The sequence below is a fragment of the Homo sapiens genome, chromosome 20 (assembly GCF_000001405.40).
Source record: "Homo sapiens chromosome 20, GRCh38.p14 Primary Assembly".
NCBI lineage: Eukaryota > Metazoa > Chordata > Mammalia > Primates > Hominidae > Homo > Homo sapiens.
Window position 1 is genome coordinate 61,762,950 of NC_000020.11, and position 12,762 is coordinate 61,775,711.

General features: G+C 53.2%; 1 protein-coding gene across 5 annotated transcripts in view, besides 5 other annotated features; it reads left to right on the forward strand.

Moving 5' to 3' along the window:
- CDH4 (cadherin 4) overlaps positions 1-12,762 on the forward strand; it is a 688,357-nt gene that overhangs the window by 510,689 nt on the left and 164,906 nt on the right. For all 5 annotated transcript variants that reach the window (NM_001794.5, XM_047439812.1, XM_047439813.1 and 2 more), the window contains one exon: positions 10,054-10,233. In NM_001794.5, the coding sequence (NP_001785.2) occupies positions 10,054-10,233 (180 nt within the window). The remainder of the gene's footprint in view (positions 1-10,053; positions 10,234-12,762) is intronic.
- Positions 2,982-3,555: an enhancer, noted in NCBI's record as "H3K4me1 hESC enhancer chr20:60340987-60341560 (GRCh37/hg19 assembly coordinates)". NCBI's record gives its function as "activates a minimal SCP1, AML or CMV promoter by ChIP-STARR-seq in primed H9 embryonic stem cells {active_cell/tissue: H9 hESC(primed)}" and the evidence as "EXISTENCE:reporter gene assay evidence [ECO:0000049][PMID:30033119]".
- Positions 4,311-4,811: an enhancer, noted in NCBI's record as "H3K4me1 hESC enhancer chr20:60342316-60342816 (GRCh37/hg19 assembly coordinates)". NCBI's record gives its function as "activates a minimal SCP1, AML or CMV promoter by ChIP-STARR-seq in naive H9 embryonic stem cells {active_cell/tissue: H9 hESC(naive)}" and the evidence as "EXISTENCE:reporter gene assay evidence [ECO:0000049][PMID:30033119]".
- Positions 6,178-6,678: an enhancer, noted in NCBI's record as "H3K4me1 hESC enhancer chr20:60344183-60344683 (GRCh37/hg19 assembly coordinates)". NCBI's record gives its function as "activates a minimal SCP1, AML or CMV promoter by ChIP-STARR-seq in naive H9 embryonic stem cells {active_cell/tissue: H9 hESC(naive)}" and the evidence as "EXISTENCE:reporter gene assay evidence [ECO:0000049][PMID:30033119]".
- Positions 8,824-9,118: an enhancer, noted in NCBI's record as "tiled region #10002; HepG2 Activating DNase matched - State 4:PromP". NCBI's record gives its function as "activates a minimal TATA promoter and a strong SV40 promoter by Sharpr-MPRA in HepG2 cells {active_cell/tissue: HepG2}" and the evidence as "EXISTENCE:reporter gene assay evidence [ECO:0000049][PMID:27701403]".
- Positions 8,824-9,118: a silencer, noted in NCBI's record as "tiled region #10002; K562 Repressive non-DNase unmatched - State 21:Repr". NCBI's record gives its function as "weakly represses a minimal TATA promoter and a strong SV40 promoter by Sharpr-MPRA in K562 cells {active_cell/tissue: K562}" and the evidence as "EXISTENCE:reporter gene assay evidence [ECO:0000049][PMID:27701403]".

Here is a 12,762-nt window from a genome sequence, read left to right on the forward strand (position 1 = left end):
GATTTGAAAACATTCCCATAGATGCTTTTGTGGAATCAGGTGGACTTGTGCCATGCCATTTTCTCAACACTGTGGGGCACTTCAGATGCTAAGGACATGTCCAGCAGGATCAGTGCAGGACCTGGCCGCTGGGCGGGATGACAAGTGAGGGATGCCACCACCGCCATCTGTGACCTATCGCCAAAGGTCGGGGCTGCCGGCTTCCCTTAGAAATATACCACGGATCTGGTGTCAGGGAATTTGAAGCAATTTCCATGTTTTTGCCATCTCTTGAGGGTAATGACTTCGACTAGGACAAGGGATGCTCGCTCTTCCTCACTGAACTTGGCAGGAGCATCAGATGGCCCCCCACAACTAATAACCCATGCTCAGGGAACCCAGGCCCTGTTCCCCTCTTCCATCTGCACCACGCTGGGGTTTTGATCAGGTCCACCCCATCTCAGCCCATCTATTCAAGAGGACTGCTCTGGCATCTGTGCCTCTGGGAGGCATTTTCACGCAATGGCTACGGCACTGCGGAGCCGGTGCTCAGTTCAGGATTCCCAGGGAGCTCGTCCACCCTGCAGAGAGCCTCATGCAATGTGTCCAGAGGGTCTGGAGTGGGACCTGCTATCTGCATCTCTACCACAAGGAAATGTTACAATAGTTGATCACCATTCACCTGTGAACCAGCTCCCATGCCCCGGCCAGACCACGATTGTGGGGAAAGACCCCTCGTCTTCCATGGAAGGCACTCTGGGAGTTTCTGCATGGAAGCCGGGTCTTGGTGGCTGCCCTCCCCCATGTGGCTTCACCTCTGAGTGTTTTAGCATTCCCTTCACTTAAAAGCCAGGGTTCCTCCTTGGCTCTTCATAATTCCCGGCTCCTAACAGATGCGTGGATTCGAGAATAAAAAATATAACAAATGATAACTTTTCGCATGTAGCTTGGGAGGTGCATATGATTATATTCTTTCCTTAACACTGTTTTTTTCTTTTTCAAAAAAACAGAAAAAGACGATCATGTAAAGCCTGCCCCAGGTCAGTTTTGCATTCTTTGTCTCTCGCTTGCGAGTGATGAGGGGAGGGAAATGATCCGAGTTTTGCTGATACTGAGCTGTCCCTGGAGACCTCACCTTGCAGCCACAGCCAGTTACAGCCTCATCACACAGACAGGAGAGCAAGACCCAGGCGGGGAGCAGGGCTGCCAGGAGCTTAAGAAAATAAAATATTGTGGCCCCAAGAAGCCGGCAGGGCAGAATCCGGCCCTGGGGAGAGCACAGGCCGCCGCAGGGTGCAGGTGTGGACTTGGGGGCTAGTGTGGTTTTCTCAACATGCACCTTGCCCGTGAACCCCGGGGCCACCGACTTCCAGTCGAACGGAAGTTGTCTTTGTCTGTGTGCCTTCCTTTTGTCTCTTAAGCTCATTTACCTCTCATCACTTCCCCTGAATCACAATTTATGTATTCTTGAATGTGAGGGATTGGTGACTGTATCCCTGGGAAGAGAGAGGATGCCTGTATTTGAGATTGGTCCAGGAAGCCTGTACAGAGAGACCCGGGGCTGGAGAAGAGTTCATCCAGAAAGACCATGAGACCACCCAGACCCCTCGAGCCATGGGTGGAGAGTGAACACACCTTCCGCGCAGGGCCCCCCGAGCAGCCCACTGGAGCCCAGGCTGTCATTTTATCTCTAAAAAGCCAAGCTCCACTTATGCATGGGGCTTTGTCGTGCATCCGCCCCATCAGTGGCAGTTTTGCAGCACCTTCCTCCCCAGATGTAAAGTGAAGCTTCCGCTCCCCAAGGCGCCCCAGCCTTCGGCTTCTAACATCACTCCTATCCCCACTGCTGCCCACATCCCAGGCATCCACGTAGCTCCGGAGCACAGAGCTCACCAGCCCCTTCCATCAGCAGGGAAGCCTCATGCAGGTCGCAGGGCCCAGCACTAGGACCCGTGCCTGGAGGCTTCTGCTGCTGCCGCCTCCGTAAATCACCATCTTACAGTAGGATCAGCAGAATGCATTCCATAGGAAGCACAGTTGATTAGGGCTTAATGGGGAGAGGCGATCTGAAATGAGAAGCACTTTGTAAATAAAAGCTGATTAAGAAGCAGGCAGGTTTAGAGTCACCTGCACCTTGTAGACACATCCCTGGGAGCCTCAGGCCCCCACACCCTTCATCTGCCCCCTGAGGAAATGGCCCTGTCCCTGCTCAGCACTGGGCAGGTAGGCTCTGACCTTGGAAACTGGGCCCCTAGACAAGTTCATCTGCTGCCACTCCTGGCCGCTCAGGGCTCGGAGGGGTCCCGAGGATGGACCTCCCACAGCCTCGTGTAAGTAAGAGGCGGGAGTGGTGACACCATTTACCAGGCATCTGGGGCACACTGCTCCAGGCTCTGATGATGCCCCAGACTGCAGAATCTCCCCACCCCTGGGCTCTGTTCGACCGATGGACCACCATCCCCAGCCAGTCAATGGCTGTACATGATACTGAGGCCAGGGACTCACCCTGGGGTCTGTCCCAGGAAAGGTAGCTGAAGCCACGAAGCCACAGTTGTGGGGCTCACAGATGTCATCTGCAAACAGACAGGCCGGGCTCTCAGCTCAGCTGCAGCAGAGCAGCCTTAGGGCGTAAGGAGAGCAGGGAAGAGGAGGAGGAGGAGGAGGACGGTGTCTCCAGGTTGCTGTCCAGGCCAAGGAGGCCGAGTGTGAACAGACTCTGAGGAGCCTGTCCTGGTAGGGACCAGCCTGGGCGTGGCACATTTCAGGAACAGCAAGACCGGGGCCAGGAGTCAGGAAGGGGAAGGCAGGGGCTGACCTGGGCGGCCTGGAGGCCAGGCCCAAAGCCCCAGGTGCCTGTGGGGGCAAGGGGACTGGCAGGGCTCCCACCCTCCCATCTCAAACCCTCATCCAGGGAGGAGAGCCCACCCCTTCCAGCAGCCCCGGGAAAGTCACTTGCTGGGGTCACCTGCCTTCCCTGGAGCAGTCACCTGGCCAGGTGGAATGCCGGACTCTGATTGGCCAGCTGGACCCTTAGGCCCACCCCCGCGCCTCTGGGATTGGCTCCCAGGAGGAAAGTATGGGTAGGGTAGAGGGACCGCGGATGCTGGGCCCAGCCCTGGGTTCTCTAGGACCCCACTAGGCCACCCAGGAAGGAGCCTGGGCCCACACCTCCCTCCCTGGCAGGCCCCTCGGTCTGGGTCCAGGAGCCCACTTTGCTCACGGTGCCCTCACCAGAGCAGTCCCTGACCCTCCCCTCCCTACCCCACCCTCAGTCTCCCTCGCCACTTGGCCCCAGCTCTCCCTAGCCAGGCAATTTGGACAAATTCTTCCACTGGCCTGGGCCTCAGTTTCCCTTCCTGGAATATAAGGGTTGTGGGACACCCCGAGTTCGCCTGCCCCCCAGCCCTAGCCCCTGAACACTCAGAGCTCATCCTAGGCCCCCCTTGGCCCAGCCTCCAGGCTGCAGGAGTCTTGCCCTCTCCTTCTCTGCCCTCTGGAAGTCCTGCCCAGCTTTTAGGAGCTCCACCCCCAGCTCTGCCCCTTCTCAGGTTTCTTCCGACAGCAGGGCTGAAGGTCCCCATGTCTGTCAATGCTCCCTAGACAGTACCACATTCACCCCACACCTGGCAGGGGGGCTTCCTGATCATCCCCCTTTCACAGATGAGGGACTGAGATCGGGGATGAAATAAATCCTGACTTGAGCAGTGGAGAGAAAAGCCATGCTCCACGCAGCTCTGTTAACCTCGGAGCCTGTGACGCCCCCACCCTGCTTTCCTTCCAGGCCCCAAATAATGGTGGTGTCTGCCTGGTTTCTGAGGCATCCACACTGTCCTGTGCCACTGTCTGTGCCCCCTTCCTGGCCCGTCCTGCCTGGCAAAGTCCTATTCACCCTTCAGTGCCCTGACCGAGATATAATACCCACCATGAGTATTTCTGTCCCCAAGTCCCCAGTGGACTGATTGTGTGCGACTTGGTGCCAGTTTGAACCTCCTGCCTGATTCTGACTCTGCACCAATCGTGGGCCCTGTGGGAAGTGGTGGGATGGGCCCATCAAGATGGTGGGCCACAGGTCAGACAGCTTGGGCTCCAGTCCTGGCCTTCCAAGCTTGAGCGGGGCTTCATCCCTTGAGCTTGATGTCCTCTGTGTGCTGCCCTGAGGACTAAATGAGACTGTGTCTGGGAAGTCACTTGGGCAGGGCCCGGGCCCGTGCAGGACTCAGGAAGGTGTCCCTGAGGTCATGGCTGCACCCCGCCCCCACATGAGCATGCAGGAGACAGGCTGAGGGCCATTTGCTTTGTCGTCTCCTGGCTCAAGGGTGGCATCAGTAACTTTGTGTGGATGCAGTGGCTTAAGTCTGTCCACTGAGTTTGCTCCATAGAAAGTGAGTGGCTATCAGGGCCCTGCTGCCCCCACCGGGGCTGTGGTACCTCCCTAACGTGTGGGACTAGGAAAAGATGCACAGCCCCCGGGGCAGTAGCAGGTCCGGGGTGGCACCAGAGCAGGTGTTCCCTGCCGTGTGGAGTGTGGCCTGCCAGGTGAGGCGCTGTAGATTGAGCCTGGCATGAGGATGAGGCGCCCAGGCAGAGAGAGGGGCAGGAGCAGGGCCTTGGGCGGTGGAGGTGGAGGTCTGGTCCCCAGCACCTGGCGGGTGAGCTAAAACCCTATAGGCTGGAGGCCAGAGTGGGCGCTTTGGGCCGCTCCTGCCCACTGTCCTATAGGCAGGGCTTTGAGGGAGCTGAGAGTGCATCAGGGAGCCCAGTGGGGCTGAAGCAGGGCAGAGTCAAAGGCACAGGGAAGAGGAGGGAGCACAGGAGGGGAACTGTGGGGTATGGGACACTGCAGCCCTGGGCAGGGCCCTGGCCACAGGGCCAGTTTCCAGGCCCAGAAACACTCATGGGAGATAAAAGTAGGACCACAGCCCAGGTCTCATCCTGTCAAGGACGGCTCCATGAAACATCCCTGGGGAGCCATCCTGCAGGCTGCAGCAGCTCCGGGAAGCTGCCCCCTCATGCATCTTCCCAGGTGTCCGTGAGTGGATGGAGGCGACAGTGGGCGGCTGCCTTGGAGCTCCTGATTCTGCAGATCTGCAGGCACGAGCTTGGTTGGACCCCAAAGACCAGCTCAGCCACCAGGACCCTCCTGGACGCTGCTAGTTACAGGACTTCTAGCTTGAGCTAAACTGTCAGGATGCGGGGAGTGGGTACGGCCAAGATATCTTGCTGCTGGGCTGTTGGTTTTGAGAAAGTTGTGATGTGCTCTATACACACACACACAGACACACAAACACACATAAGCAATGCGTACCTGTGCATGTGTAGAATGCATAAACACACATGTATTCATACATGTGCATTTGTGCATGTGTGTACATGTAGTCATACACCCATACATCTGTGCATATTTGACGTGTGCATTCATATATATCTATATGTGCATGTGCGTACATGCATGCATACATGTGTGCATAGCGCCTGTATACACATGTGCGCATGTGTACTATCTAGTTTCTGGTAATGGTGTAGTAGAGGTCACCCTTAAGTCATTACCCAATGCTCAGTCTTCATTCACTCCGAAATACAGAAGAAAAACAGGCACCAGGGAAAATCAGCAGGTGTCATCTGTTAGAAAATATTTTTAAGTGTAACTGGAAGCATTATTTTCAGTGAGTATAATTATGCATCAGTGTTTATGTGATGTCTTCTGAATGGGCCCAAGATGACTGCGTGTTCAAAAGAACATGCTTGTTCGACCAGGGTGAGTGCTAATTGTGGTTGACATTTTCTTCCAGGGAAGCGGGCGCATCTTCCAGGCAGAAGCCCGCACAGGTCTGGCACTGATTTTCACCAGATTTTGTTATTACATTTGTCTCACAGCTTTAAAATAGTAGCAAATATGTGCAATTTATTTAAACAACACTAGGGAAATTAACGCCATACAAGCTCATACTAAGCAAATGAAAATGAAGGATTTTTTTAAAAAACGGCTGTATGGAAACCCTTTAAAACTCAGAGTCTGAGATTCAGAGGGCCCTGGTGAGCTGCTGCTGGTTCTGAAGCACCACCAGGCGGGAGAGACCAGCCAGTCTCTGCCTCCGTCTCCCGCTGGGAGATGCGGGGGAGCTGCAGATGCCCAGAGGGCCCCTGCTAGTGGCTGTGCCAGAGGCTCCCCTCGCCCTCATCTGGGAGAGATCTGTCCAGGCTGCCTGCCCTCGTGCAGGCACAAAAATAATGCTCCACCACCCTTCTCCAGAGGTGGATCCCCAATTGCCTGTGGGCTGGGAGACGCCCTGTTCTCCAACTGCAGAACATATCAGGCGTGGTTGGCGGCCCCACCCCAGAGTTGTTAAGTCTTAGGTGAGACCTAGGAACCTGCATTCCTAATGAGCTCCACAGGGCACTGAGCTGCTGGTCCTGGGACCAGCCTGGGAGCTCAGACCTGTTTCTCCCCAGTCTGGGATTTATGGAACACATCCCGGGTGGGTGCAGGAAACATCACTGAGACCCCCTTTTCCCTTGGTTCCCCATCTGTTCCATGGGAAGATCGATTTCCGCCCAGTCCAGGACCTTCCTGAAGTCCAGCAAAGGGGATTCGACTTCACAAACAGAGACCACAGAAGGGAGAGGTGGCACTTTCAGGTGCTCTGGCCTTGGGGTCACACTCCTGGCGTCCGAATCCTGCCTCTGCTGAACGGGCTGCATGGGCTTCATGAGTGCCTTGGCCTCGCATGGCAGGAAAGTGGGAATGATGGTGCTCCCCGCTGAACTGGTGAGAGGGAGGACTTATGGGGAGACTACCTGGAACAGCATTTGGCCTGGAGCCTGGAACCTGAGTGCACGCCACATCTATTACCATTGTTCCTGTGGGCTATGTTGGCGTTATTTCAAGCCACTTTGAGCAGTGGGATTAATCTGGTCTTTCTCATCAAAGCTTAGAGCATATCAACATAAATTGTCATATCCCCAAGGTAGAGACCAGCTCCCAGGGAGGTGCTATCTGTCTGGGGCTAGGTCTTGGAGGACAGGTGGGATGTCTTCAGTGGAAGGGCCAGATGCAGAGTCCTGCTGTCCTGCTCATCGGACATTCAGTACCTATGAGGCACAGGCTACTGGTCTGGGCGAGGAAAGCATGGAGTCCAGTTGTCTGTGCTGGGTTCCGGGGAGAATGTGCAGCTAGGACTGTCCTGGAAGCTCTTTAAAGGCCCCTGAGGAGCCTAGAAAAGCCCCCGCCCCTTGTCATCATGAGGGGCTGAAGTCGAGACCCCTGGGTCTCCATGTTTGCACCTCACATGGCTCCTTTCTAAGGAAGGCTGGGAGCGCCCCATGGAAGCCTCCTGGGTTTTATTAATTGAGGCAAATGGTGGTGTGGACCCCCACTGCCTGGAGGGGCAGCCTGTGGTCAGATGCCTCCCGGCCAGCTTTGTCCTCCCTGCCTTGGGCTGCCCTGGTGCAAGGTCCATTCTCCACCACGTGAACTCTCATATCCTACTGCCTCTGCAATTCAGATAAAATGAGCATCAACCACGAAGACTGGAGAGGCATGCCATGCCATGTGGGCACCCTGCACTGGCCCCGATGTGGCAGACGCATGGACGCCGCATATACGCGTGACGTTCTGTTGGCGCTGTCAGCCGCAGGAGTCATGTGCACTATCACGTTTAGGAAACACAGAAAGGGTTCAGGCGCGGTGGCTCACACCTGTAATCCCAGCACTTTGGGAGGCTGAGACGGGAGGATCACAAGGTCAGGAGATCGAGACCATCCTGGCTAACACGGTAAAACCCCGTCTCTACTAAAAATACAAAAAATTAGCCGGGCGTGGTGGCGGGCGCCTGTAGTCCCAGCTACTCAGGGGGCTGAGGCAGGAGAATGGCATGAGCCCGGGAGGCGGTGCTTGCAGTGAGCCGAGATCACACCACTGCACTCCAGCCTGGGCGACAGAGCGAGACTCCGTCTCAAAAAAAAAAAAAACACAGAAAGGTAAAAGGAAGGAAGTAAAATATGATAACAGAACTCCCTGGTGACCAGAGAAAACCAGTGTGTGCATTTTCATGTATTTTCTTACATTTCTTTTTTCTTTTTTTCTTTTTTTTTTTTTTTTTGAGACAGAGTTTCGCTCTTTTTCCCCAGGCTGGAGTGCAATGGCACAATCTTGGCTCACTGCAACCTCCACCTCCCGGGTTCAAGTGATTCTCCGGTGTCAGCCTCCTAAGTAACTGGGACTACAGGCATGTGCCACCACACCTGCCTAATTTTAGATTTTTAGTAGAGATGGGGTTTCACCATGTTGGCCAGGCTGGTCTCGAACTCCTGACCTCAGGTGATCCAGCTGTCTTGACCTCCCAAAGTGCTGGGATTACAGGCGTGAGCCACCACACCCAGGCTCTTTTTCTATCCTTTAAAAAAATGCAGTTGAGGCTGGGCATGGTGGCTCATGCCTGTAATCCCAGCACTTTGGAAGGCCAACACGGGCGGATTACCGGAGGTCGGGAGTTTGAGAGCAGCCTGGCCAACATGGCAAAACCCCATCTCTATTAAAAATACAAAAATTAGCCAGATGTGGTGGCGGTCTCCTGTAATCCCAGCTACTCAGGAGGCTGAGGCAGGAGAGTCACTTAAACCCAGGAGGCAGAGGTTGCAGTGAGCCAAGATCGTATCACTGCTCCAGCCTGGATGACACAGTGAGACTCCATCTCAAAAAAAAAAAAAAAAAGGAAAAAATGCAGGTGCAGTTGATGCTGTATGTATGCTTTGGTGCTATTTCTCCACTTACTAATATTTTATGGGCATTTCTTCATGTCAGTCTTAAAAGAGTAACTTTTAATGATTATAATATTCCAAGACATGAACACAGTGTAATGCGTTTAGAATTCACTGTCAGACATTCAGATTTGTGCTCTGGTATTTTTACTTGTTTAAAAAACATCCAAAGTAAACATCTGTCTATAAGGACTTTGGTCCACCTAGAGTTTCCTGGGGACAGATTTCCAGCTGTGGAGTTACTGGATCAAAAGGGACCGTCCTTTTTGAGGCTCTTGATAGTCACTGGCAACTGGGAGGCAGAGGGCTGTGCTGAGTGACCGCGGGGACCCAGCAGCAGGAGCTGCATCAGTGTCAGTCCTGACAGCCTGGGCCCTATGCTAAGCATGGGCTGGGCATTTTCTCATTGTCATCTGATGTCATTCCCATAGCAGTCCCTAAACTCAGGGCCATTGCTACTATCTCCCTTCTGTCAGAGAAGAACCCAGGATTGTGAGAGATGAAGGCACTTTGCCCCACGTCACATGAGCTTTTGTACATACACACAGGTGGGGTCCAAGGCCAAATCCCACACCCTCAGCCGTCAGCCTCCGCCCACTGACTCCCATCAGCCTCCACCCACTGACTCACTGCGCACCCCCAGTGTTGCAGATTTATTTCGCTCAGCCTTGTCAATCTGACAGGTAAAAAGGATATATTACTTAGATATGCATTATTTGATTACTGGGAGATGTGGATATTTTTCATAAGTTTATTGATCATTTATATTTGTTTTGCTGTGAATTATCTATTCATGTCCTTTTCTTGTTTGGAAACAACATTCCATTTGATTTTTTTATTTCTAAGAGTGCTTTATATGGTGACTATTAACCTTGTGTCAAATTGTTGTAAATCATATTTTCCAAATGTGTCAATTGCCTTTTGGGTCTGTTTTCATAAACAGGAGTTTTGTGGGAAAACGTATTAGTCTTTTCTTTTGTGATCTCTTGCATTGTTTGGGGTGAGCTTAAAAAGCCCTGTCTACACTATTGGTGACATTGTCCACTATATTTTCTTCTTTGTTTATGGTTTCTTTTTCCCGCATTTAATTTTGTAATCGGTCTCATCATATTGATGGGGGTCTCACTTGATTTTTTTTTTTCCCTAATAGTTCCTTTCCCAGCGTTATCCCGCCCTTCCCGCTTAGCTCCTTGTCCCAGCGTTACCCGCCTTCCCTCTCAGTCTCGGGCAGTACAGATCATCTTAGCAGATGCCATTTTCCTCTGTGCAAAACCTAACTGGACTTCTCTGCCTCTTCTCTCCCCTTTCCAAATAAAGCCGCAGAAAGGAAAGAAGGTCGTGGCTCTGGACCCCTCTCCGCCTCCGAAGGACACCCTGCTGCCGTGGCCCCAGCACCAGAACGCCAACGGGCTGAGGCGGCGCAAACGGGACTGGGTCATCCCGCCCATCAACGTGCCCGAGAACTCGCGCGGGCCCTTCCCGCAGCAGCTCGTGAGGGTGAGTGCAGACCCCTCCCGCGGGCACGGGGGTCTCGGCGTTAGCAGTAGGCTCTTCTCCCGACATCCCAAAGCCAGGGGCGGGTTCCGCGTTTGGTGTCTGAGAAGGTCGCGATTTCACCCTTTCTGTAATGAGATAAGCCTTACACAGCGCGATGAAAAATTCAGGCGGGGAAGCTGCGTCCTCCGCGGTGGATGGGCCTTTGTGAGTTAGGGGTGATTTCTCTCTTGGTTACTTTCAAGTGGCTGCTGTGTGTGTGGAAGCAGTGGGCAGGGGCGTGGGTCGTGGCCTTTGACCTCTGACCCCTTTCTTTGGTCTGATCACATTTCTTTCCATGGATGACTAAGATCCCGGATGATGGGGTGGTGCCATGACGATCCCTGCGCCGAGGCCAGCGTGCGCCGTGCCGCGGTCTGTCTGCAAGTTCTTGGTCCCCGAGCTCCCAAGGCCACCCGAGATTGCTTTTACCGCAGAAATAATTTATTTTACAAATTTGTGTTTCTATTATCAAGGCCATCAACGAGCAATTTCTTCTTCCCTTTGAAGAAAATTGCAGCCCAATCTGAGCAACAATTTGATAAAAGGATGGCGAGAATTCCATTAAATAATTCCCAACCGTTGTGGAAAAGCCTCACCCCACCCTTTGGAAATGAGGGTCCCCAGAGTGTGCTTAAGGGGTCATTCTCATTCTTTGTGCTGTTTAGTGTGTTTTGTTTCTCATTCCTTTCAATGCAGAAGGCTGGGCTGTGCGTTTGGAATGCAGAGATGGGAGGAAGAGAGCAGCCACCAGGCAGGGTCCCCCCAATTTTTTGTATCCCTAACCTCGGCCACCAGGGGACCCCACCAGGGAGCAGCCAAAATGACCGGTTATTTATAGCAGAAACTCTGGCATGAGTGAATGCAGTGTGCCTCCACACCCCAGCCAAGGTGACTTGGTTGCAAATGTATCACCTGCCTTCTCTGCACAGAGCCGGCCCTCCCACCTCAGCACCCAGCCTCTGCTGCATTCTTCCCTGTCAGGGGCTCAGCTTTCCTTGGCCACCCATGCCCCTTGAGGGCCAGGCAGGTTTGGAGATTTTCCTGTGAAATGCAGTTCAGGGCTTGAAGGAAGCCACCAGGGGTTGGAACCCCATCCTGGGCGAGCTTCCCAGGCCCACATCTCCTGGGCCCACTGGGCAACCTCCCGCCCACCACGGATGCTAGAGACGATGCCAATGGCAGTGCCGTGGCCCCCATGCTGCGCCCACCTCACCATCCTTGGGGCCGGGATTTCTTGCATCCGGCCATTGCTTGTGTTGTCATTGACTTAAAATTCGTCTCAAAGTGATTCATTTTTTTTCCAACTTTTATTGTAAGTTCAGGGGTACATGTATAGGATGTGCAGGTTTGTTACCTAGGTAAACGTGTGCCATGGTGGTTTGCTGCCCCTGTCAACCCATCACCTAGGTATTAAGCCCAGCATCCATTAGCTATTCTTCCTGATGCTCTCCTTCTGCCCCACCCCTCCCACAGGCCCCAGTGTGGGTTGTTCCCCTCCCTGTGTCCATGTGTTCTCATCATTCAGCTCCCACTTATAAGTGAGAACATGTGGTGTTTGGTTTTCTGTTCCCACTTTAGTTTGCTAAGGATGATGGCTTCCACCTCCATCCATGTCCCTGCAAAGGACATGATCTCGTTCCTTTTTATGGCTGCATAGTATTCCATGGTGTATTTGTACCACATTTGCTTTATCCAGTCTGTCATTGATGGGCATTTGGGTTGATTCCATGTCTTTGCTGTTGTGAATAGCGCTGCAATGACCATACACGTGCATGTGTCTTTATAAGAGAATGACTTCTGTTCCTTTGGGTGTACACTTAGCAATGGGATTATGGATCAAATGGGAGTTCTGCCTCTAGGACTTTGAGGAATTGCCACACTGTTTATCCCCAAAGGAGATTGTATACCAAACCACAGTTTGATCACTGGGATAGTTTGTCAGGCTAAAAGCTGACTGTAGAGAAAAGCATAAGGTGAGAGAACAAAGGCTGCCCCTGATTTGTTACCCAGGCCAGTGGGGCAGGGGCTGAAGGGTGTGCTGGAGGCATGAGGACCAACCAGAGATTCCTCTTTGAAGGTCATCAGGACTGAAGGTCACCGAGACAGGGAGCGGGCTTCCATCATGCTCTTCCACCTTATTTAATGCCTTGTGCTTCTGCCACCCCCACATTGCCCCTGGTAGACAGTCATCGATCTTACTCTGGGGTCAGCAAACCTTTTCTGTGAAGGGCCAGGTGGTAAATATTCTAGGCATTGTGACCATACAGCTTCTGTCGCTGTGGTGTGAAAGCAGTCTCAGGCAATGTGTCAACTAACAGGTTGGCCGTGTTCCACTAAAACTTTATTTACAAAAACAGGGAGTGGGCTGGGTTAGCCCATGGGCCATGATTTGACAACTGCCAATCAGACACTTTTCCGAAACTCAAGAAAGGGCTGCCCAAGCCACCCTCACAGGCACAGGGTAGGCACATTATTTGTGGAGTGAGTGAG